This window comes from Homo sapiens, chromosome 2 (genome assembly GCF_000001405.40).
Source record: "Homo sapiens chromosome 2, GRCh38.p14 Primary Assembly".
NCBI lineage: Eukaryota > Metazoa > Chordata > Mammalia > Primates > Hominidae > Homo > Homo sapiens.
Window position 1 is genome coordinate 32,717,862 of NC_000002.12, and position 22,464 is coordinate 32,740,325.

A 22,464-nucleotide genomic window follows, 5' to 3' on the forward strand; every position below is an offset into this window, starting at 1 on the left:
ATGGGCTCTGGAGTCATGCAGCCTGGTTTCCGATCCCAGCGCTACCATATATTATACCTGCTTATACCTTGGACAAGCTACTGAACCTCTCTATGCCTCAGTTGCCTCACATAAATAATGGAATAAGTAGAGTTTTTATGAGCATTGTATGAATTAATATTTAGATCAGCATCTCAGGCTGGAAGGGCTTAATAAATGTTAGTTGCCATAATTATTATTTCTCTTGCTGGATTATATATTGGGTTATTTAAATATAAGCAATTATGACTCTATAGATGAAACAATTTAATTATACTTTAATTAATTATACTTTTTTCTTCATTCTTTAAAAGACTTCTTTATCCAATTCAGTTCTGAATTTGGAATTTTAGTAGAACTATGTGGAGACCTCCCAGATCTATCTTCTGTGCCTCTTCTAAGCTGTTTGTCTTTTTGATTGATGTTATAGGAGATTTCTTCCATCTTTTCTCCTGTATTACTAATTTTGACCATTTTGACCAATTAATAATATTTAGTCCATTCATAAAATTTTTTATTTTGACAATTATTTTTAATTTCCAGTAAATCTGTATTTTTCTGATTGTCCTTTTTCTTAATAGTCTTTTGTGTTTTATAGATACAGTATCTCATTTAAATTTATTTGTGCATTATTAATTAGAATTTTAAAAATTATTCCTGTGAATTATCTGTCCTCAGGTATGACCTGTCTTATATGTTCCTCTTGGCCTTTCTTTTTCATGGGTACTGCTTTTTCTTAAATGGCTGATGATTGCCAAAGCTGATTGTGTTGATAGTTAGCACAAGTCCCCTCTGTAGCAGTGTGGGTCTCATTGTCTTAGAGGCTTTTCCACTGAAGGCAGGGCTGACTGCAGACTCTGCACTGTGACCAGAGTGTGGCTAACTAGCAGGCTTCTGTAGGGTTGGCATGGGTCTTCCCTCTAAATCTTCCCCTAAGGCTCTGAACTGGGAATCTGAGGCAACTGGGCACTCTTGCTGTTATAACAAAGATGCTTCTCTTTTAAAATAAGCCTCACACCTCCTGTTGCTTCATTCTTTCATTCCTTTCCTTCTGAACAGACATGTGAGGTCTGAGATAGTATCTCCTAAGTGGTGCAAGAAGGCAGTGTGCTTGACCAAGCCTAGGGGGCAGAGGAGGCATCCAGAGGAGCTGGTAGCAGGATCAAGATCCCAAGTGAAGAACCACAAACAGAGGATAGAGACCCAGTGAGGAGAACCTCCTCTCAGTATGGTGTCTGAAGCATTGGCCAGTGGTTCTGAGCTATGGAAGTCATAGTCTGGAATACAGGGTCACCCTCACCAGAGTGACATCCAACAGATGAAGCTGTGCATAGAGCAGTGAACTAAACAATGTATGAGGTATCCTTAGATGGTGCACTCAGGGAGGCTGTAAAAGATACAAAAGGCTTTGCAGTGATTAGGAGAGGCACCTAGTCATCAAGAAAAAAGGTCAAAATGTTTAAAGGATGGAATAGCAGGGTCAGAAAGAGATGCAACAACCCAGATAACAGGTATTGAGGTTGACTATATGGGAAACTTATATTAGCTCTGCATCAAATATATTAACACAGGGCCTCCTTTTATGGCGTTAGACCAGAGCAAGATCTCAGGTCAAAGCAGCTCATCAGAATTGCCTTCTGCATGTGGTCATAAAGAAGAACATTGGGCAGGAATGCAGTAGTTTGGGGCAGAGAGCTAGCTTATGAAGATCATCTTAACTTGAGAATAATTAAGGAAGTGTGTGGTTCTCAAAGGGGTGAGATTATGATTGCAAGAAAGAAGCTAACAGACACAGCTGCAGGAGGTAATATTTAGTTACTCTAAGCTGGAGACAATACAGCATGATCTCAGATGCAGATCTGGGTTTCCCAGTACCCCAGAGTTTCCCATGAAGACATCCAGGGACAGAGGATGCCTTCCTGTGGAGGCACAGTACCGGAAGCTCCCCTTGGTATTCTCACAGGGGGAAAGGATGGTTTATGCCCACCTGCCACCTCCCATCCCCCAGCCAAATATTGATCATGAGGGTAAGTCTCCCTCAGCAGCCCAGGCTTCTGACCTGTCTTAGCTCCATTCTAAATTTTATGAGAGAAGGCTTTCAGAAGTCTAGTTTTATCCTATAGCTAATAATAGTAACATAATACGTGAATTATGTTACTTCAGGATCTTCACTTCTTAGGTAGACTGCTTCAACACTGCTTACTTTCTCTCCTTACTGCTGACTGGCCTCTCCCCATTCTTATTGGCACCTTCATTGAAAAATCAGCTGACTGTATGTGTATGGTTTATTTTTGGACTCTGTGTTATCATAGCTATGTTTTAGCATTTATTAATTCTATTATGCTCTATTTGGAAAACTTTCCTTCATAACAGCTAGAATGTGAGCTTCTTGAGGGGTCAGTTTCTATATTTTACTTATTTTTACATTCTCAAAATGAACACTCAATGGATGTTTGCTAAATGATGAATTAGAAAAATAGAATTTTGAATTACTTACTTATTAGCAGGACTAATTGAGAGTTAGCTAAGTTAAAGACTGTGTTTTCATCTGGCACTTCAATAATCTGAGAGCTGTAGAGGCCAGCCTTTCTGATATCATTCCAGTCCAAATTTTTAGTGTAGTAACAAGCCCCAATGCCAAAGCTAACAGGAACAGAATAGTCACTGTGATTACACTGAGGTCAACATAGGGTAGTAATTCAGTTTGGTTGGTTGTATTTTTTTAAGGGAAGGGAAAAGAGATGAAGCCATGACAGTTTTTCTTATTGGGTTTCCTAAAAAATAGTGAATTAATGCATAATTCAGTACCCTATGTGCTCCTAAGAAGTAATAAGAGCCTGAAGTTCAAATTAACTCCTTAATTTACCGGAAATATGTTCACTCTGTATTTTTTAGCATACCAGAAGACAAAGCTTTCCTTTATATTATGAACCGGTCATTTATTCTCTATTAAAGACTACTCTCTCATGTGTTAGCGTCTCAGAATATTCGTGTGCTCTATTGTATTTTCGCATATCTTCTTCACAGAAGTAAGTTCACATGCATTATACTTGGCAGACTTGGTATTGCCCTTGATGTGTAACTATTTGTGTGAGTAGAGAATCTCCAGCTGCCATTATGGAGTCATTAAAGAAGGACTGGGAAGTGGAGTGTAGCACATGATCTAGTCATTTAAGCTGACCATGGCTGTATTTGGTTTGCCTAATGAGTGGGTATGGCTTCAAAATTTGAAAAATTACATTTGATTTTATGCTTATTTTCATGCTTATTTTAAATCCCCCTAAATGTAAGGTTCTTGTAATGGACAAATAGAATTTAGAGCTTTTCATGACTCTTGACCTTCTGTCTCAGTAAAATTTAAGAATTTTTAAGAACAGGTCGCAATGAGGAGTCATTTAGTTGTAAGGGACAGAAACCCAATTCAAACTGGCCATAGAAAAGGAAATAAATTGGCTATTATAACTGAGAGTTCTAGGGATATCCCAGTCTCGGAGATAGCTGGATTCAGGGGTTCAAAGAGATCATCAGGCCTTTCTTTTTCTTGCTTTTCCCATCCTCATTCTCATATCTTTGCTTTTCTCCACCTTCTACAGTATCAGGAAGGTTGTTGTCACAGTAGCACCAGATTTCGTTATCCATAGACTTCACAATCCAAGAGGAAGATAAATCACAAGCTGCTATGGCCAAGATTGTTAAGCTTCCTCACCTTATCTGGGCTTCACTTTTCTTTCTCTCTCTCTCTTTTTTTTTTTTTTTTTCTTTTAGAGGCAGAGTCTTGCTGTGTCACCCAGGCTGGAGTACAGTGGAATGATTATAACTCACTGGAGTACAGTGGAATGATTAAGCTCTGAGGCTCAAGCCATCCTCCTGCCTTTGCCTCCCAAGTAGTTGGGACTATAGGCACACACAACCATGCCTGGCTAATTTTTTCATTTTTTTAGAGGTGAGATGTTGCTATATTGCCCAGGTTGGTTTTGAACTCCTGGCCCCAACTTCCCAAAGCACTGGGATTCTAGGTATAAGTCACCGTGCCTAGCAGTGCTTCACTTTCCTTATTGGTAGGGTGGGGATGGCTGTCAAGCCTACCTCATACCAATGGTGATACTTGTGAAATGCCTGGAATAGTGCTTGGTACATAGTCAATCTTCAATAAACGTTGACTCTTATTATCATCTTCACTTTATAGGAGGGGAAGTTTAGGTACAAGAATAAGAAAACTGCCGTTCCTTCATAACTGATTAAAAGCAGTCATTACTACCTGGGAAACCTGAACAACATTGAGATAATTACAGTGCCTCATGTATAGTACAGCACATGTATAGTGTGCTGGGTCATGCCATCAAGATTTTCACATATCTGAGATATGAACATGTGTCTTTCATTCTAGCTCTGTATTTCATCTGCATTAATAACTGTGTGCATTTGAAAGTTATTGAAAAGTAGTGTTAGGAGTTGCTCATGTGATTGTAGCTGTGGTTTTATTTGTTGGAATAATTATAGTTGCTACTGTTTATACAGAGCTGTGTGTAGTTACTGCCATTTAATTAACTGTGTATTGTTACTTTACTGAACACTCATATGCCAGGTGGTAACTAATCCTAGGGAGGAGTCATTATGTACATTTTTACTGATGAAGAAACTGAGGCACAGAAAGTTTAAATTACTTACCCAAGGTCTCATAGCTGAACTAGAGTTCACCCCAGGTCCACCTGATTTAGAAGTCCATGCTTTTATCCACCATGCCCTACTTTCTAAGGAAGCTATGAGAACTGGCTTACAAAGGAAACGTGATATCAGTAGAAGACTGGCATCATCTGGAGGAAAGGAGTGGAATGACCACAGGCAGGAAGAAGTTAATCGAGACTTTTGTGAGAAAGGTTTAGGTTGCAGAACTCAGTGTCTTAAGGCCTACAATTCAGGTTGAAGGGGAGGGAAATGGAGGGCACACAATCTCAGGACATGGTTCTGTGTGGGAAAAGAACATGCAAATGGATGAATGAAATTGGCTTCTGATAAGGCCAAGAAAGGGGGCTGCCAAGAGCGACACTGATGGGCTGAATCCAGGATATGAGCTTCCTGAGAATAGAGGGGTAAAAAATATGCAACGAGTAGCTTATAGGTAAGTGGACAAGTAACACACAATATAAAGGAACCTTTACTAGTGATACTAAAAAAAGCCCTAGAAAGTTACAGAAAAGTGAAAAGTAGGTAATAATAAAGGAATGTATTAATGGGATGAAGTAAAATATATTCGCTTAAAGCACACTTTCAAAGGCACTAAATAATAACTTTAGTCAGATTCCCAAGGAGGAACAAACTTAAGTTCTTTGGACAAGGTCAGATTACGGTGATTGAATTCATGCTTTAGTTTTCCCTGAGATAACACTGCGTACATCTTAACATCCTTACGCAGCATTTTCCAAATTTGCTGAACATATGTACCAGCTCTTGGTGGGGGTGGTTAAAATATAGATCTTCAGCCTAGCCCGCAGAGATTCAGGGTTAGAGTGTTGATTATGGGCATGTTTGGGAAAGGCTGCCTTAAGTAGAGGTGGCCTGTTGTTCTTTAGCATCTCCAGATGTTTTTCTCTCTCCCCAGGTACACATAGAACAGAGGCCAAACGGGTATACACCAAGCTCTGGGGTACAGTGCTATGATTTAACGGGATGAATGCTAGCAGGAACCTTTAAGGTGTTATTGAGGGCCAACTCTCTGGGGCCAATTGAAATTGAGCTCACTTAGAATAGGTGCCTTGCATTTGGCTGACACTTACTCATGAAAGTAGTAGCTAATTATTGTTAGACTCAGCTCCTTCCTCCCTCCCTCCCTCCCTCCCTCCCTCCCTCCCTCCTTCCTTCCTTCCTTCCTTCCTTCCTTCCTTCCTTCCTTCCTTCCTTCTCTCCCTCCCTCTGTCTTACTCTCTTTCTCTCTTTCTTTCTTCCTTTGTCTTGCTCTATCACTCAGGCTGGAGTGCAGTGGCATAATCATAGCTCACTGCATCCTCAACCTCCTGGCCTCAAGTGATCCTTCTGCCTTGGCCTCCCAAAGTGTTACGATTAAAGGCATGAGCCACCAGCTGGCATACATAAGCTTTTTTTTTTTTTTTTTATAGAAAGGATAATACTAAGAGTTTAAAACATTCACTCAGGTTTTAATAATCAATAAATATTTGTTATTCTTTGCCCTCATAAAATTTGCAGATTGTAAACAGGGTGACTTGTGCTTTCATTAAGACACTAATGTCTTAAGACACTAAGCAGGGTCCCCTGGAGAAGTTTTGGGAGAAAATTGGAGGTAGATGGGCTGTAGGGAAGGCATAAGAGCTTGTACTTTTACTAATCCTAAGGCAGCAGTTATCAAGTAGGGCTTGTGGATCCCTGGGAGTCCTTAGGCCATTTCAGAGTGTCCATAGGTCAAAACCATCTTCATAATAAGGGCAGTGAGATATTGTTTGCCTTTTCACTGTGTTGATATTTGCATATTGGTCCAGAAGCAGTGGAAGGGCAGGGGAGTCAAACTCCTGGCCCCTTTGTCAAAATCAAGGTGGGGCACCAGACTATGGCTACCAGACTGTGCTAGTAGTCACTGAATGCCTCACCACCACACAGTTTTTTTTTTTAAGACAGTTGTGTTTAGAAATGTCTTTGATGAAGCAGTAAATATTATTTTGTCATCTTTACCCTCAAGAACATGCCTTTTTAAAATTCTATGTGATAAAATGGAAAGTACTTACAAAAAACTTGTGCCACTTGCTAAAGTACAATGGTTGTCTCAGGAAGAAACTTTTTCCCATGGAACATTATTTTTGCTTGAAAGGACTATTGACAGATGAACTGATTATTCAGACTTGGGTATTTGGTGGAAATTCCCCAAAAAATAAATGAAGTAAGTGCATCACTTCAAGGAAAATAATTGACAATATTTGTTACTGTATTAGTCCATTTTCATGCTGCTGATACAGACATAGCCAAGACTGGGTAATTTATACAGGAAAAAGGGTATAATGGACTTAGAGTTCCATGTGGCCAAGGAGGCCTCACAATCATGGTGGAAGGCAAGGAGGAGCAAGTCACATCTTACGTGGATGGCAGCAGACAAAGAGAGAGCTTGCGCAGGGAAACTTCTCTTTATAAAACCACCAGATCTTGTGAAACTTATTCACTATCACGAGAACAGCACGGGAAAGAGTTGCCCCACATGATTCAGTTACCTCCCACTGGGTCCCTCCCACAACATGTGGGAATTCAGGATGAGATTTGAGTGGGGACACAGACAAACCGTATTATTTCACCTCTGGCCCCTTCAAATCTCATGTCCTCACATTTCAAAATCAATCATGCCATCCCAACAGTCCCCCAAAGTCTTAACTCATTTCAGCATTAACTCAAAAGTCCACATTCCGAAGTCTCATCCAAGACAAGGCAAGTCCCTTCTGCCTATGAGCCTGTAAAATCAAAAACAAGTTAGTTACATCCTAGATGCAATTGGGGTGCAGGCATTGGGTAAATACAGCCATTCCAAATGGGAGAAATTGACCAAAACAAAGAGGCTATGGGCCCCATGCAAGTCCGAAATCCAGCGGGGCAATCAAATCTGAAAGCTCCAAAATGATCTCCTTTGACTCCTTGTCACACATCCAGGTCATCCTAATGGAAGAGGTGGGTTCCCATGGTCTTGGACAGCTCCACCCCTGTGGCTTTGCAGCGTACAGCTTCCCTCCTGTCTGCTTTCATGGGCTGGCATTGAGAGTCTACAGCTTTTCCAGGCACACGGTGCAAGATGTCAGCGGATTTACCATTCTGGGGTCTGGAGGATGGTGGCCCTCTTCTCACAGCTCCACTAGGCAGTGCCTCAGTAGGGACTCTGTGTGGTGGCTCCGACCCCACATTTCCCTTCTGCACTGCCCTAGCTGAGGTTCTTCATGACAGCCTGCCCCTGCAGCAAACTTCTGCCTGGACACATAGACATTTCCACACATCCTCTGAAATCTAGGCAGAGGTTCTCAAACCTGAGTTCTTGACTTCTGTGCCCTGACAGGCTCAACACCAACAGAAGCTGCCAAGGCTTGAGGCTTGAGGCTTGCACCCTCTGAAGCCATGGTTCAAGCTCTACATTGGCCTCTTTCAGCCACAGCTGGAATGGCTGGGACACAGGGCACCAAGTCCCTAGGCTGCACACAGAACAGGGACCCTGGGCCCGGCCCACAAAACCACTCTTTCCTCCTGGGCCTCCGGACCTGTTATTGGAGGGGCTGCTGTGAAGACCCCTTTCGCCCTGGAGACATTTTCCCCATTGTCTTGGGGATTAACATTCGGCTCCTGGTTACTTATGCAAATTTCTGCAGCTGGCTTGAATTTCTCCTCAGAAAATGGGATTTTCTTTTCTATCGCATTGGCAGGCTGCAAATTTTCCGAACTTTTATGCTCTGCTTCCCTTATAAAACGGAATGCCTTTAACAGCATCCAAGTCACCTCTTGAATGCTTTGCTGCTTAGAAGTTTCTTCCACCAGATACCCTAAATCATCTCTCTCAAGTTCAAAGTTCCACACATCTCTAGGGCAGGGGCAAAATGCCTCTAGTCTCTGTGCTAAAACATAACAAGAGTCACCTTTGCTCTAGTTCCCAACAAGTTCCTCATCTCCATCTGAGACCACCTCAGCCTGAGTTTCATTGTCCATATCATTATCAGCATTTTGGTCAAAGCCATTCAACAAGTCTGTAAGGAGTTCCAAACTTTCCCACATTTTCCTGTCTTCTTCTAAGCCCTCCAAACTGTTCCAACTTCTGCCTGTTGCCCAGTTCCAAAGTTGCTTCCACATTTTTGTGTATCTTTCCAGCAGCAACCTACTCTACTGGTACCAATTTACTGTGTTAGTCCATTTTCATGCTGCTGATAAAGACATGCCCAAGACTGGGTAATTTACATAGGAAAACGGGGTTTAATGGACTTACAGTTTCACGTGGCTGGGGAGGCCTCACAATCATGGTGGAAGGCAAGGAGCAGCAAGTCACATCTTACATGGATGGCAGCAGTCAAAGAAAGAGAGCTTTTGCAGGGGAACTCCACTTTATAAAACCATAAGATCCTGTGAGATTTATTCACAGTCACGAGAACAGCACAGGAAAAACTTGCCCCCGTGATTCAATTACCTCCCACCGGGTCCCTCCCACAACATGTGGGAATTCAAGATGAGATTTGGGTGGGGATGCAGCCAAACCATATCAGTTACCAATGATAAAATTTTGAACTTCCAAGAAAAAAATGAGAGTTTCGGAAAACCTCTATCTGCAACTATGAACTTCATAGCTTCCTAATATTTTAAATATTGAGACAAGATTTTTCTGATGAGATTGTGGTGATATTAATGCATGTAGTTTTAAATTTTTTTGTGAAATGTGTCCACATTGGGAAGATCAGCTCATTTTCCAAAAAACTAGTGCATGATGTTACACAATCAGTATTCAAAGTCGAGACTGACCAGTGAGTACTTTCTTGTTTGTTTTTAGACCAGTGGATTTTATTATAACAGAGTATTTAATGTAACAAAGAAAGGTTCATTGATAGGATTTCAAATTCCACATTACAAATAACCTTTAAGAAACCAGCATCTGTTGAATTTTGGTGTAGTATCAAATAATAATATCCACAATTAACTGAAAAAGCTACTAACATACTCTTTCCCTGTTCAATTACCTATCTGTGTGAGGACAGATTTCCTCCATAAACTTCAAACAAAATATTATATTGCAACAGATTGACTGCAGAAGCAGATCTGAGGATCTAGCTATCATCTATTATGCCATACATTAAAGAGATTTGCAGAATTGTTAAGATGATGCCACTCTTTTCAAGACTTTTTGTTTTGTTTTGTTTTGGAAAAGGTAGTTGTTTTTTATAAAGCATGCTATTTTTGTTAATGTCATAGATTTTTCTTTTTAAATGAATTAATGAACATTTAAATTTTCCTGTTTTTATTTCTAATATGATAAATATTGATGGATTATAACTTACAGAAAGAAAAGCTTCGAGTCCCTTAATAATTTATAAGAGTTTAAAGGGGTCTTGGAAACAGAAGGTTGAACTGCTCACCCAAAGTGTGACTGATTAAGGGGACGGCTGCATGATAGCCATCTGGGCCTCCTGAGAGGACTGCCTCTTTTTTTTTTTTTTTTTTTTTTGGAGACAGAGTCTCGCTGTCGCCCAGGCTGGAGTGCAGTGGCGTGATCTCTGCTCACTGCAAGCTCCACCTCCCGGGTTCACACCATTCTCCTGCCTCAGCCTCCCGAGTACCTGGGACTGCAGGTGCCCACCACCACGCCCGGCTAATTTTTTTGTATTTTTAGTAGAGACAGGGCTTCACCCTGTTAGCCAGGATGGTCTCGATCTCCTGATCTTGTGATCCGCCGGCCTCGGCCTCCCAAAGTGCTGGGATTACAGGCGTGAACCACCGCGCCCGGCCAGGACTGCCTCTTAAAGTTCATCTTTTCAGCCTGTAATCACAAAAAGAGGATCTAGGTTCTCCCATCTCCCATTAGTAGACCCAGTTCCTACCAACCCATACCCTAAAGTCTGTCGTTTCTGGGGCAGAAGCAATAACTGAGCATCTCCTTGATCAGGCCACACCCTGTCTCCCATATTTTTGGATTTATGTGTAAATAAGACAGTTAAATAGAGTTCTCAGTATTTTTCCAATGAGAAGCTGCTTTCAATTTTGACACATCTGACATTGATCACATAGTTTTACAGAAGGTTTTAATAAAGTTGCCAACTGTGGTCTTTGGAGTCTGACAGGCTCACCTATTTCATCGCCTTATGACTTTGGGCAAGTCATTTTTATCTCTCACAGCAACAGTGTTCTATGTATGAGGAAAGACTGGGTTCACAATAAGTTTAATGATGGTGTTGATACTTACTAGGTGTGTTAACAGTTTTAATTGTTATTCTCCCTGTTCCCATTGGCAATTTTCTTGGGCTTGGAGGTTTGAGATGGCAATGAGCTTGACTAGTCTATTTGTAAATTACAGCTGAATTGACTGCAGACTCCTGTTAGAGAAAGCTGTTTGGCTCAACTATTGGATTATATACATATTTTTATAATAAATTCCATCTTCCTATACACACACACACACACACACACACGTACAAAGATTGCACAGCAAAGCCAGCATAAAGTGATATGGCATATGATCAGTCATAACTTTTAGATTATCAGCTAATTTCTACCTGACCCTTCAAAAAGCCAATGAACACGTAGATGTCATGCTAGTGAGAATGGATAGCTTTCAGGAAAAGGGTAGGTCCTTTGGGACTATCTCTATTCTTTTGAAAACGTGTGCCATACTTTTAGATGAGAACATATAAATAAGTCTAAATCATACCAGACATTTTTCAGAATTGTCCTTTTTTACTAAATCATTCTCCATGTGCTAATTTTAAAATGTAGTTTTGATCTTCTCTAGTTTTTTTCTGGGAAATTCCTTCTCTGTTGAAAACAGAGCATTGAAAGGAGAGGGGACATCATTGCTTTCTTGGGTTTTATTCCCCATTCCATAGAGATATCCCTTGACCTGTGACACTGTGGCTCCTGGAAGATTTGGGAATTGTTATTGCATGGGGTTAGGGGGTCTTTATGCACAAATACATATTCTCAAAGGACACTGAAAGTATAAATGTCTTTAGGCGGAGTTAGGGAGTAAATGGCATTAAAAGGGAGTCTTAAAACTTGAAAACAGTCTCATATCACAGTAGTCCATGCAACATGAAGTCACCTCTGGTATATCCAGCCCCTACTTCTGGACCGCGCCCCAGGGGCCTCCTCTCTCTCTGCTTGTTACCTTTTACGTTTATTCACATCTCTTCAGTCATCCACCTAGAGTAGACTGTCTTGCTTCAAACTGCCCTTAATGATTGGTTTAGGGTATATTTGCTTCTTCTCCCCCTGTCTCCATTTTTGACATTATCATCTTTCCTTAAAGACCACCTCCTCATACCACTTTTTACTTATGACTAAGCCCTAAAATTAATGAAATTTAGAAACTGGAAAGAGAAAATGGGTAAGTGCAAGGGTAGGACACACTGCTTTGGAGACCATTTACCTAAATTTCTGGGCGTGTGTGAAAGCTTGCGAGGTACTTCTATCTCATGGAGCACATTGTTTATATTCGCATTCATGCACATAAATACCTCAATAGTAGTGAGGCTTCACGTGCATTCAGTCCCATTCTCACAGTACCTGACATTCTTCCATTGTCTTCTTCCAGGCTATTTGGGCACATGGTTTGCTTCTAATGAATGTACCTAATACTTGTGTTCGGCTTAAAATTAATCAACAAACCTTCTGAAATGCTTGAAGTAAAACAAAATACTCTTTTGATAAAGCCATACTCCTAGACCATTGAAAACACAAGTATTGTTCAAAAAATCATCTCATAGAAAAATGCCATTGTAGTTAAACTACTTGCTTGCTGGGGATAGAACAAGGACATAATCCAAGTGGCTTCACTTGCCGTCACTGATTTTCTTCCATTTATTGTGCCTGTAAAGGACTCAGGTTTGGTTGAATATGATGGAATTATTTCAGATTGCGTTGCTAGAAATAATCCTGGTCTGAAAAACCTAGACATGCACTATAACAATGTCCCTGTCTTTTTAGTAAATTAGCAAATTAAAAAAAAAAAGAGTACTTTGGATCCAGTAGAGGAAGTAGGCAAATAAACAGTACACCTATCAAGACTTTCTTATTTTTTTTTTTTTTTTTCTTGAGACAGTCTCACTCTGTCACCCAGGCTGGAGTGCAGTGGCGTGATCTTGACTCACTGCAACCTCCGCCTCCTGGGTTCAAGAAATTCTCCTGCCTCAGCCTCCCAAGTAGCTGGGATTACAGGCCTGCGCCACCACACCCGGCTGATTTTTGTATTTTTAGTAGAGATGGGGTTTCACCATGTTGGCCAGGTTGTTCTAGAGCTCCTCACCTTAAGTGATCCTCCCACCTCGGCCTCCCAAAGTGCTGGGATTACAGGCATGAGCCATTGCACCCGGCCAAGCCTTAACTTTTGTATATTAATTTAATGTTCTTAGTTTTCGTTGATAGTTAAATTTTATGTAGATGGTTGTCATGCATAAGGCAGGAAGAAATATTTTCTGTGCAGGAGTGAAAATAGGCTAGAGTTCCGTTGCGTGTGTATGTGTGGGGTTTTTTTTGTGTTTTTGTTCCTTTGTTTCTTTGTTTTTTGAGACAGAGTCTCACTCTGTTGCCTAGGTTGCAGTGCATTGGTGCAATCACGGCTCACTGCAACCTCCGCCTCCTGGGCTCAAGTGATTCTCATGCCTCAGCCTCAGCTGGGATTACAGGCATGCACCACCATGCCCGGCTAATTTTTGTATTTTTAGTAGACACGGGGTTTCACCATGTTGGCCAGGCTGGTTTTGAATTCCTGATCCGCCTGCCTCAGCCTCCCAAAATGCTGGGATTACAGGCGTGAGCCACTGTGCCTGGCCCCTTTTTTTCCTTCTGAGACAGGGCTTGCTCTGTCACCCAGGCAGGAGTGCAGTGGCACAAACCTAGCTCACTGCAGCCTTGACCTCCTTGGGCTCAAGTGATCCTCCTGCTTCAGCCTCGTAAATAGCTGGGCCCATGGGCACGTGCCACCAACCCTGGCTATTTTTTAACGATTTTTTTGTGGAGATGTGGTCTTACCATGTTGCCCAGGCTGGTCTTGAACTCCAGGGCTCAAGTGATCTTCCTACTTTGGCCTCCCAAAGTGCTTGGGGTGGCACCCAACCTAGAGTTCTGTTTTTGATCTTTATCATGCATATGGCTTAATCAGGTTTTTGTATGGGGGCTTATTCATGGCATTCAGGTCAAATGAGTGTTGGTTCTCTGCACTGTCTTTAGTGGTCTTTGCCATTTTGGAGAGTATCCGAGAGTTGTAAGAGACACTTAAAAACTCCAAAAGTATCTGAGAGTATCTGAAATACATAATAAATGTGTTTATTAGTAAATGAGGAAATATTTACTGAGTACCTAATATGCTTTAGCTAGTTTTAGTAACTATAGCCAACAACCATGAGTTTTTTGAAAATTAATTTTTTGCATGTTATTAGGTGTTAGTAATAGTAAATTTTACAATGTTGCTTTTGTTTTTATTATTAATGGAGAGCATTAGTTATTTTTTCTTTCCAAAAAAAACTGAATTGATAAAAAAGTATCCCTTCTCTATGAAGTAATTTGTTCTCCTTTTATGAAGTAACTCAGTGATCTCTTTATTTATGTATTGTAACCATATGTATGCAGCCAGAAGTTATTCTTCTCTACCCTCCCTCCCACAACTAAACAGCTTTGGGCAGCAGCATGCAATCTTTTTGCTATTAAGTTTCTATGAAGTGAGGCCAGAAAGCTTTAAACATATTTTGACCAAGATGGTTTAGGAGTCTGGTTATGTCTCAGTTTGCTCTGACTGACTTGACTGAATAACATCTTGGATTGTCAACGAAGTGTTGTGTAATGTGTGTTTTCTCACACTTGAGCTCATACCACAAGATATTCTTAGGCTAATAAATGTATCTCCCAGCCAGTGTAAAATAGAGAACTTTCAATTTAGGAGAAGCCTCCCTGCTCAGAAACTGGTCTCCCTGTCTTAGATTTTTACCAGGACATGGTAGATTCCCGTCCTTTTTTTTTCTCCTGAGGCTTGGACTTGCTCCCTTTTTTACTATTTTTTGAAATTTTCCATTTAAAAAATTAATTTTGTAAAAATTTTAAACAGTTTCCAAGTTACCAAAAAGTTGCAAGAACAGTGCAACTGTCTTTTGCATCCCGAAGTTTTGGAGAGTAAGTTGCCAACATGGTGCTTCATCATCCTCAAATATGAGAACGACATTCTCCTACATAACCCAGTATGCATAATAACATCAGGAAATTAACATTGACTTTTCACTACCGTCTAATCCTCATAAGAGAGGCCTGTGAAAACTAGTCAACTGGCAAAAAAAGAAAATTTGAGTACTGCATTGTAGAAAAAAGATCATGATAATTCTCAGTTGAGAGTAGGTATAAGTGTATAATACCAGAAAAATATGTACACTTAATGTAAACTGAATGGCAAATGAAGAGGCAGGAGAAAATGATCATGATAATGGGGCTGCTGTCCACATGCTTCTCTAGCAATCCCACAATGTGTCTTCATTCGCTTTGATGCTGAATACATGAGCTCTTCTATGACGAATCATTTGACCACTGGATAGCTCCAGCTTTGAGTTTGCAGTTGGCCCTGGTACCTTGTCTCAAAGTCAGCTATTTTGGTCTTGTTGGTCTGCTTCTTGATGTAGCTTCTGAGAGTTTAGTTATTCAGTACCATTGTAGAAATTTCAGTACATCAGAGGGATTCTTTCATGTATGTGGGTTGCAGCTGCCCACTGCACTGTATAGATGGTCTCACATGAGTGAATGTCCAGCCTTATTGCTCTGTTGCTGAAGAGTGAGAGAACTTGCTCTCTGTGATCAAATAGGCTACTTTTTCCTTTCATTTTATTCCTGAGCAAATAATCCTACATAGAGTTCTTCATGTAATTTTTCTCTGATTTATATTATAAAGTGCCATGGTCAAAGTGGCATTATGTTGTGAAATAGATAAGCTAAAGAACAGTTCTTCATAGAAGAAGTAAAAAGGCTTATCAATAAGGCTAGCTCTTTGAAAGAACTATTATAGGAAATTAAAACTTTTTCTGGTAAGTTTTTAATGTACATGTTTATGTAAATGTGGATTAGGTTTAAAGTTTTTTGAACATTTAAAGAAATTCGAGAAAAAATTCACACATCCTATCACCTTATCAAAATGACTTAAGTTCTTTGTTGTTTATATGTGCATTTGTATAACTATTACAATAAGGACTTATTTATATTATAAGTTATACATATAGATTCTGATTGTGATATATGTCCTTTAAGGCTCTTGCAGACCAATTTGAAGATAAAACTACATCTGTATTGGAACGCCTGAAGATTTTCTATTGCTGTCAAGTACCACCTCACTGGGCCATTCAGGTATTTCTGTTGTTTGTCATTGGGTATGGAAATTACTTGGCATTAGAAAGGTAAATGCATTATAAATTGATGATTTTAATTTATGTTTGAATTTTCAAATATTTTGCTAAAGATAATAAATGTATCTGCCTGGGAATTGCTAACTACTTCAAATTGCTATTTTGATTAAAGTGATATTAGACTCATAAAACATTTTTAAAATAATTTAAAATCTTATGAAATAGAATCCTAGAAATAAAATAATAGAATCATAAATGCTTGCATTTTGAAAGTAACTTCTTTTTTTTTAAGGGATGAGGTCTTGCTTTACTGTACAGGTTGGAGTGCTGTGGCGATTCACGGGTGTGATCATTGTGCATTACAGCCTTGAACCCCTGGGCTTAAGCAATCACTCTTGCCTCCAGCCTCCTGAGCAGCTGGGACTACAGATGTGCACTACCATGCCTGGCTTTGAAATAATTTCTTATATTAAAATTATTTTAAGGACTTTCTGCCAAAGAAGGAACCTTTTAAACAAGTTGTTTACAAAAAGCAAAAGAAAGCATTTATTTGGTATACTTTAAGTTGTGAGATACACATGACTACTCTCCTCTTTCTGAGGCTATGAGAATACCTACTGTAGCTCCTAATGGCACATGGTGGGGTGGGGATTCTGGCCCCTTGTCTACATGGTTCTCCTGTATTATAGGTGTAGTTCCCTATTTTGTAAAATTTTAGCACTGAAAATAACTTAAGACACCTGACCCAGTTTCTTAATGTTACAGAGGAGAAATTGAGGCTCGGTGCAATTAGTTTTCTGGTGTTGATCACCCAATCTACATGAACTAGGTTTCTAGTTTCCTCACTTTTAATCTATCTCTTTTCCTTAGCTTTTCATTGGGTTGAAATTATACCAGCTAATAACAACCAACTTTTACTGCATACTTAATATGATGCATATATTTTATTCTGCATTCCACACATATTCTCTTATTTTATTGCAACAATTTTTAAAAATATCTGTTTTACACGTGAGGAAGCTAAGTCACAGAGAGGTTAAGTGGAGTCAGATGGAGCCAGCCAGGGGATTACAGATGATTTATCTACTATTGTTATTTTAACCAGTTTTCTGTCCTCTCTTTCATGGATCATACACATAGGTAGTGAGTTAGAAACATAAATGCCAACCCACCATCCAATCGTTTAAAATCCCCATTATAAGACTTCTTAAAGTAGGTTATATTCTTAAACACAGGGTGAACTAGGAGGTTTATTGTGCATTGGAGTTCAGTTTACATATTGAAGGAATCTCAATAAAACATATGCAAGTAAAAAAGCTTTATGATATCTCAAAAGGAATAGCTTCTTCATCAAGAATGTGTTAACAGCTGGAATTTTTTAGTGTGTTTTTGACTCTGATCTGTGAAATTGGTTAGGTGCTTTATATTATGTGGTTTGATGGATAAACATTTCAGACTGAGCTGTTATGACAAAATGTGTCTATTGAGGGTGTTGCTTTTTATCTTTTTCTGAACAGAAACATTAGGAAACAAATACTGTTCAAACTGAATTTAGGCCAAATGCTTATCTGCCTAGGAAGCTGTAGATTTCAGGATCTTCAGGCAGTTAGATAAGGATCATTTTTCATTAAGACGTTAATTACTTTTTCTTGCATCATGGGGACTATCTTTGTGTATTATTTTAAAGATTGAGAAATAACAGAACAGTTTATTATAAAAAGAGAATTAGTCTCTACTTTGCTACTAACTAGCCATATCATCTTGGATGTCATCAACTTTCTTCATCTGTTAAATGAAGATATTGTACTGCTCACTGCATAAGCACCAAGATTTATTCCAGCTCTCACATGCCATGGGCAGTTTTTGAAAATGTCCAATTATATTCTCTAAAATAGCCAGATTCTCCTGTATTCCATGGGTTACTGATGTATTGGATCATTCTCATTATTTATTTTGATAATCTGTAGCTTATAATTTTTAGGCATATTTCTGATATTATCAGTCCTAGATTTTTCTGGACTTAACTCTTAAATATGTGTTGAATTTTCAGAGTAGTAAAAGTATACTTAAGAGAGAACAACACAGCTCTCTCTAATATGAAACTACACTTTATTCTGACCTTACCTACTTTTTTAAATCTTTAAATTTTTTTTCCCTTTGTGCAGGTGTTAACACTTATAAACCACAATATATTTATTTTTAAATATGTTTAACTTTCACTGACCTTAACTCAGTTTGCTCTTTTTTTTATCTGCCAGGGACTGGGAAATTAGGTAGCAAAGTTTGTTAGAATGTGCTTGAAATAAATCTAAGTAGCTTTGAGTGAGAAAGAGCTAGATATGCCCTTCTGAATAAAATTCAGCAGGGCTAATGCATAGATTTTATGTCATCTCTATTGACTGCTCAGAGTTTTAAAAATTAATTTATTGGATCTCAGCCTCATAAGTTAGAGATTGTTATATACAGAGTGTCTAGGTAAAAAAGAAATATTTATTTTTGCTTTTTAAGTTCTTAGAGAAAATTTGTATATATTTAGCATTTTCAACAAAAAAATTGTTCTTTAATTCCTTATACCCTATAAAGAGGCTTGTTTTCTAAAGTAAAGGTATGTATTGAATTATTACAAACTTCTAAATAGTACAGATTGTAGAATTTATACATTTATTACAATAAGCAGACCCCTAAAAAGGCAGATTAGGTACACCTGCAAGTGAAACAGGAATCTCTTTTTACACCAAGAAGTATTAATTATTTTTACTTGATTTTTCTAGCGCCAACTTGCAAGTTTGCTCTTTGAGTTGGGATGTACCAGTTCAGCCCTTCAGATATTTGAAAAGCTAGAAATGTGGGAAGATGTTGTCATTTGTTATGAAAGAGCCGGGCAGCACGGAAAGGTATGTAATAGTCCAATTTGATGTACTGGTGAGAGCCTTCCCTCTGGGAGCATCTTCTCACTTGTTTTGTTTTTCAAACCCACTTTTGCCAATATTCACTTATATTCCTTTTTTCACTTTTTTTCCAGAAAACTTTTAAATGTTTTCTCTGATTTCCACTGGGGCAGATTTTTACAAAATTTTTAAGAAAGACTAACAAGAGCTTTGAAGACGTGGGATTTTGATTTCTTTCCTTTACTCACCTTCTCCCTTAGGATGACTTCAAAGCGAAATATTTGGAATCATTTTAATGATCACTGGGTTGCCTGATGATCAGATGCTGTGGGCCTCAATGGAGGTTCCCTAGGAGAGAGGGTGAGAGCAGCTGGGTTGGTCTTTAAAAGAAAATCCAAAGGGTGTGACGACACCTCTTGAGGCAGAAGAGTTGTCAAGTGTGTAATGCACATTTAATTCTACCCTTAAATTGGGCCAGGAGGGAAAATGTTGCAATATTTGCATCTGTTATTTGTCTGTTGTTTTTTTCCCCTCATACATGAACAGAATTTTAAGAAGAATAAGGGGCTCTGCATTGTTAGTCACTTTAAAAACTGACACATTGAAATCATATGTTAAATTTTGGATTAAAAATTTAAAAGACTTAAGTTGAGTACATAAGCAAGCAGAGTAAAGCCCACAAATTGGATCATTTATACCTACAGTCAACCTTTTGCCATCACCCTAAAAAAGAGCAATAGTGGTTCAAGCATGTGTTTTTCTTAAATACCTTCCTAAGTATGTCTATTTTAGATTAATAGTGAAAGTTGCATTTCTTTCACTAATCAGTTAATGGCAGTGAAGGTCTTTGAATTGTATTGACTTAAGGAGAAACCAGAATAAGAACAAAGTTTTACTGTGGAAGATTATCGACTGGGCATGGTGGTTCACACTTGTAATCCTAACACCTCGAGAAGCTGAGGTGGGAAGATCGCTTGAGCCCAGGAGTTCAAGACCAGCCTGGGCAACCAAGTAAGACCCCATCTCTACAAAAAAACAAAATTAAAAAATAAAAAATTAGCTGGGTGTAGTGGTGCATGCCTGTAATTCTAGTTACTTGGGAGACTGAGGGAGGATGATCACTTGGGCCTGGGAGGTTAAGGCTACAGTGAGTTGTGATCATGCCACCGCACTGCAGCCTAGACGACACAGTGAGACCCTATCTCAAAAAAATATTGATAGAGTTATAATATTTTTATCCTGGAAAAGAACCCCATAAACATCCATTCTAGCTCCCTCCTTTTGTAAATGAGGAAAGGTTTCCCTTATGATTTGCTTCAGATCACAAGCTGGTTATTGACTCTTTACTTGCGAGGTAGTATGGCATGGTGGCTAAAAGCATATAGCCTCTGGTCTCTGGCTGCCGGTAGTCAAATGCCAGCCTGCTTCATGCTAGCTTTGTGATGTTGGACAAGTTGCTTTAATCTTCCTTGTCTTAGTTCCCTCATCTGGAAGCACTTAATCTATTTGCCTTATAGGTTTTTGTAAGATAATATATGTAAAGTACGTACTCTAGTGCTTACCTCATAATGTGACATGAGTGCTTGCTGCCATTACTTGCTGTGATTCTACGAGATGTTTTTTCTTCATATTTTAATATCTCTAAAATTGGAATGTATTTAACAATTGATGGCATCTTCCATTTGCTCTAATTCAGGTGGCTGTCCTGTCAGGTTGTCCATACCTGTGCATGTGAAAGCTAATGATAGCTACATTTAGGCCACCATTTCAGTTGAGTTGTGGACAAGGTGTCAGCACTACGTATGTTGTGTTTAATTGCCATTTAAAATATCTTCAAAAGGATTTCATTATGATTTGGCACTGAAACAAAAAGTTATTGAATACAGAGAAAAAGACAGAACCAAATTAGAGAAATGAAAATTTAGTATTACTGAAATAAACATTTGCCATCAGATAAATCATCACAATTCCATTTACTTTTCTTTAAAAGCAGCAACCAAGTGCTTTATGAGAGTCAAGAAAGAAGGATACCCAAAAGTAGATGAAGCTTTGTTTTGTACTGAGATGTATGAAGAAAGGTTGTCATTTAAAATGTCAAGCAACGTATTGAAGGCAGGAAGAACTGCCAAATTTTTCTGAATAGACTGAAAAAAATCAAAGCAAACAAGAGGCATTAGATTATAATTAAAAGCATTTTTTCTTTCTTTAACAGAGTTTGTCTTACAACTGATAGCATCTCAAATTTGATGAAATATAGTCATGTATTTCTTCAGCGACTTAAATATCTTTTTAGTGCCCGTTGTCTGACACTAAAGTAGTACTCAGATGTTTGTTTAACAAAGGAATGAATGGATGAATGAATATCTTGACTTCCAGTCTGATGTAGTTCCCATTGCATCATTCTTTACTGTGCTAGTCTTTTTACACTGGCCAAGAAATAAGTAATAACTTTATATAAAAATATGGTAGTTTTTGAAATAATAATATTTGAAATAAGCAAGTTGGTAAATCACAAATGCTCAAAGCATATTTTAGAATATTAATTTAATTATTTTTAGAAAGTATGGAAAGATGAGACTTTCCTTAATTGCAGGAGAAAAAACATAATGAATCCATCCCCTTCAGAGAAGGGATTTGACTGTCCCCCTAAGTAGTTGTGATGATTATTATTTTTTTAAATGTGCACATGACCTTGTAAGAATTGTGTGTAATAATGACAAATGCTTCTGTTTCTAAATCCTCTAGAAAATGTGCATATTTAAAATTTTAGAAATGTATAGTCATTTACTTTGTCTTAAGTTTTTTGTGAGTTTTAGCCAAACAGCCCCCAAAATCTTGATCTTAAAAGTTGATTTTAGTATTTTATTTAACCCATAAAAGACCTCCTTTACCTGTTTTTCTTATGCTATATTTGCAGATTTTTTAAACCATAGACCCTAAAAAGTTTTGCTGCAATTTAGAAGCAAATGTTTTATTTCTAAAACAGCTGATACTCTTTTGGTATTTGGTCATGTGCCAGTAGCTGTCACCACATTTTGATTTAACTAGAAGTCTGTGAAATTTTAATCCTTGCATTTAATGCTTAATTGGCATAATTTATTTTTAAAAGGCAAATTTGGAGAAATGTTTAATTCTAATTATTGTGTTCTGGTGCTCATGTTTACATCCCGGTGTTGTAGGGTCTCAGAAATTCTAGCTTAGAAACTACCGGCATACATTCTTGTTATTTAATGACCATAGGCAAAATAGCTAAGATTAATTTTGCTCGACCTTGGTATCAGAACTGGTTCTCATCTGTTAGCATTTAGTATTTAAAGGTTATCCGACCCACTTACAGCAATTTCCCCTAGCTGATAGATGTATTCTTATTTTGTTGAGCAAATTTGGTTCCTAAATGAGAGACAAAGACTGAGGGTGAGGGGTTAGGGATAGATAAGGGTTGGGACCTCTCTTGTTTTCTCTTGTTTCAAGGAAGCAAGGCTTCCCTGAGATTACATGGTCCTATCTTTTATTAT

General features: G+C 38.7%; 1 protein-coding gene across 5 annotated transcripts in view, besides 1 other annotated feature; it reads left to right on the plus strand.

The window, feature by feature from the left end:
• Window positions 1–22,464, plus strand: part of TTC27 (tetratricopeptide repeat domain 27) — a 193,002-nt gene that overhangs the window by 89,812 nt on the left and 80,726 nt on the right. For 3 of the 5 annotated variants that reach the window (NM_017735.5, XM_011532958.3, NM_001193509.2), the window contains exons 11-12: window positions 15,967–16,062; window positions 18,833–18,955. In NM_017735.5, coding sequence (NP_060205.3) covers window positions 15,967–16,062; window positions 18,833–18,955 — 219 coding nt within the window. The remainder of the gene's footprint in view (window positions 1–15,966; window positions 16,063–18,832; window positions 18,956–22,464) is intronic. The other 2 variants (XM_005264416.3, XM_047444937.1) reach the window with 1 other exon arrangement.
• Window positions 19,302–20,501: an enhancer, noted in NCBI's record as "BRD4-independent group 4 enhancer chr2:32962230-32963429 (GRCh37/hg19 assembly coordinates)". NCBI's record gives its function as "activates an origin of replication core promoter dependent on BRD2, P300/CBP, MED14 and CDK7 cofactors, and independent of BRD4, by STARR-seq in HCT116 cells {active_cell/tissue: HCT116}" and the evidence as "EXISTENCE:reporter gene assay evidence [ECO:0000049][PMID:35650434]".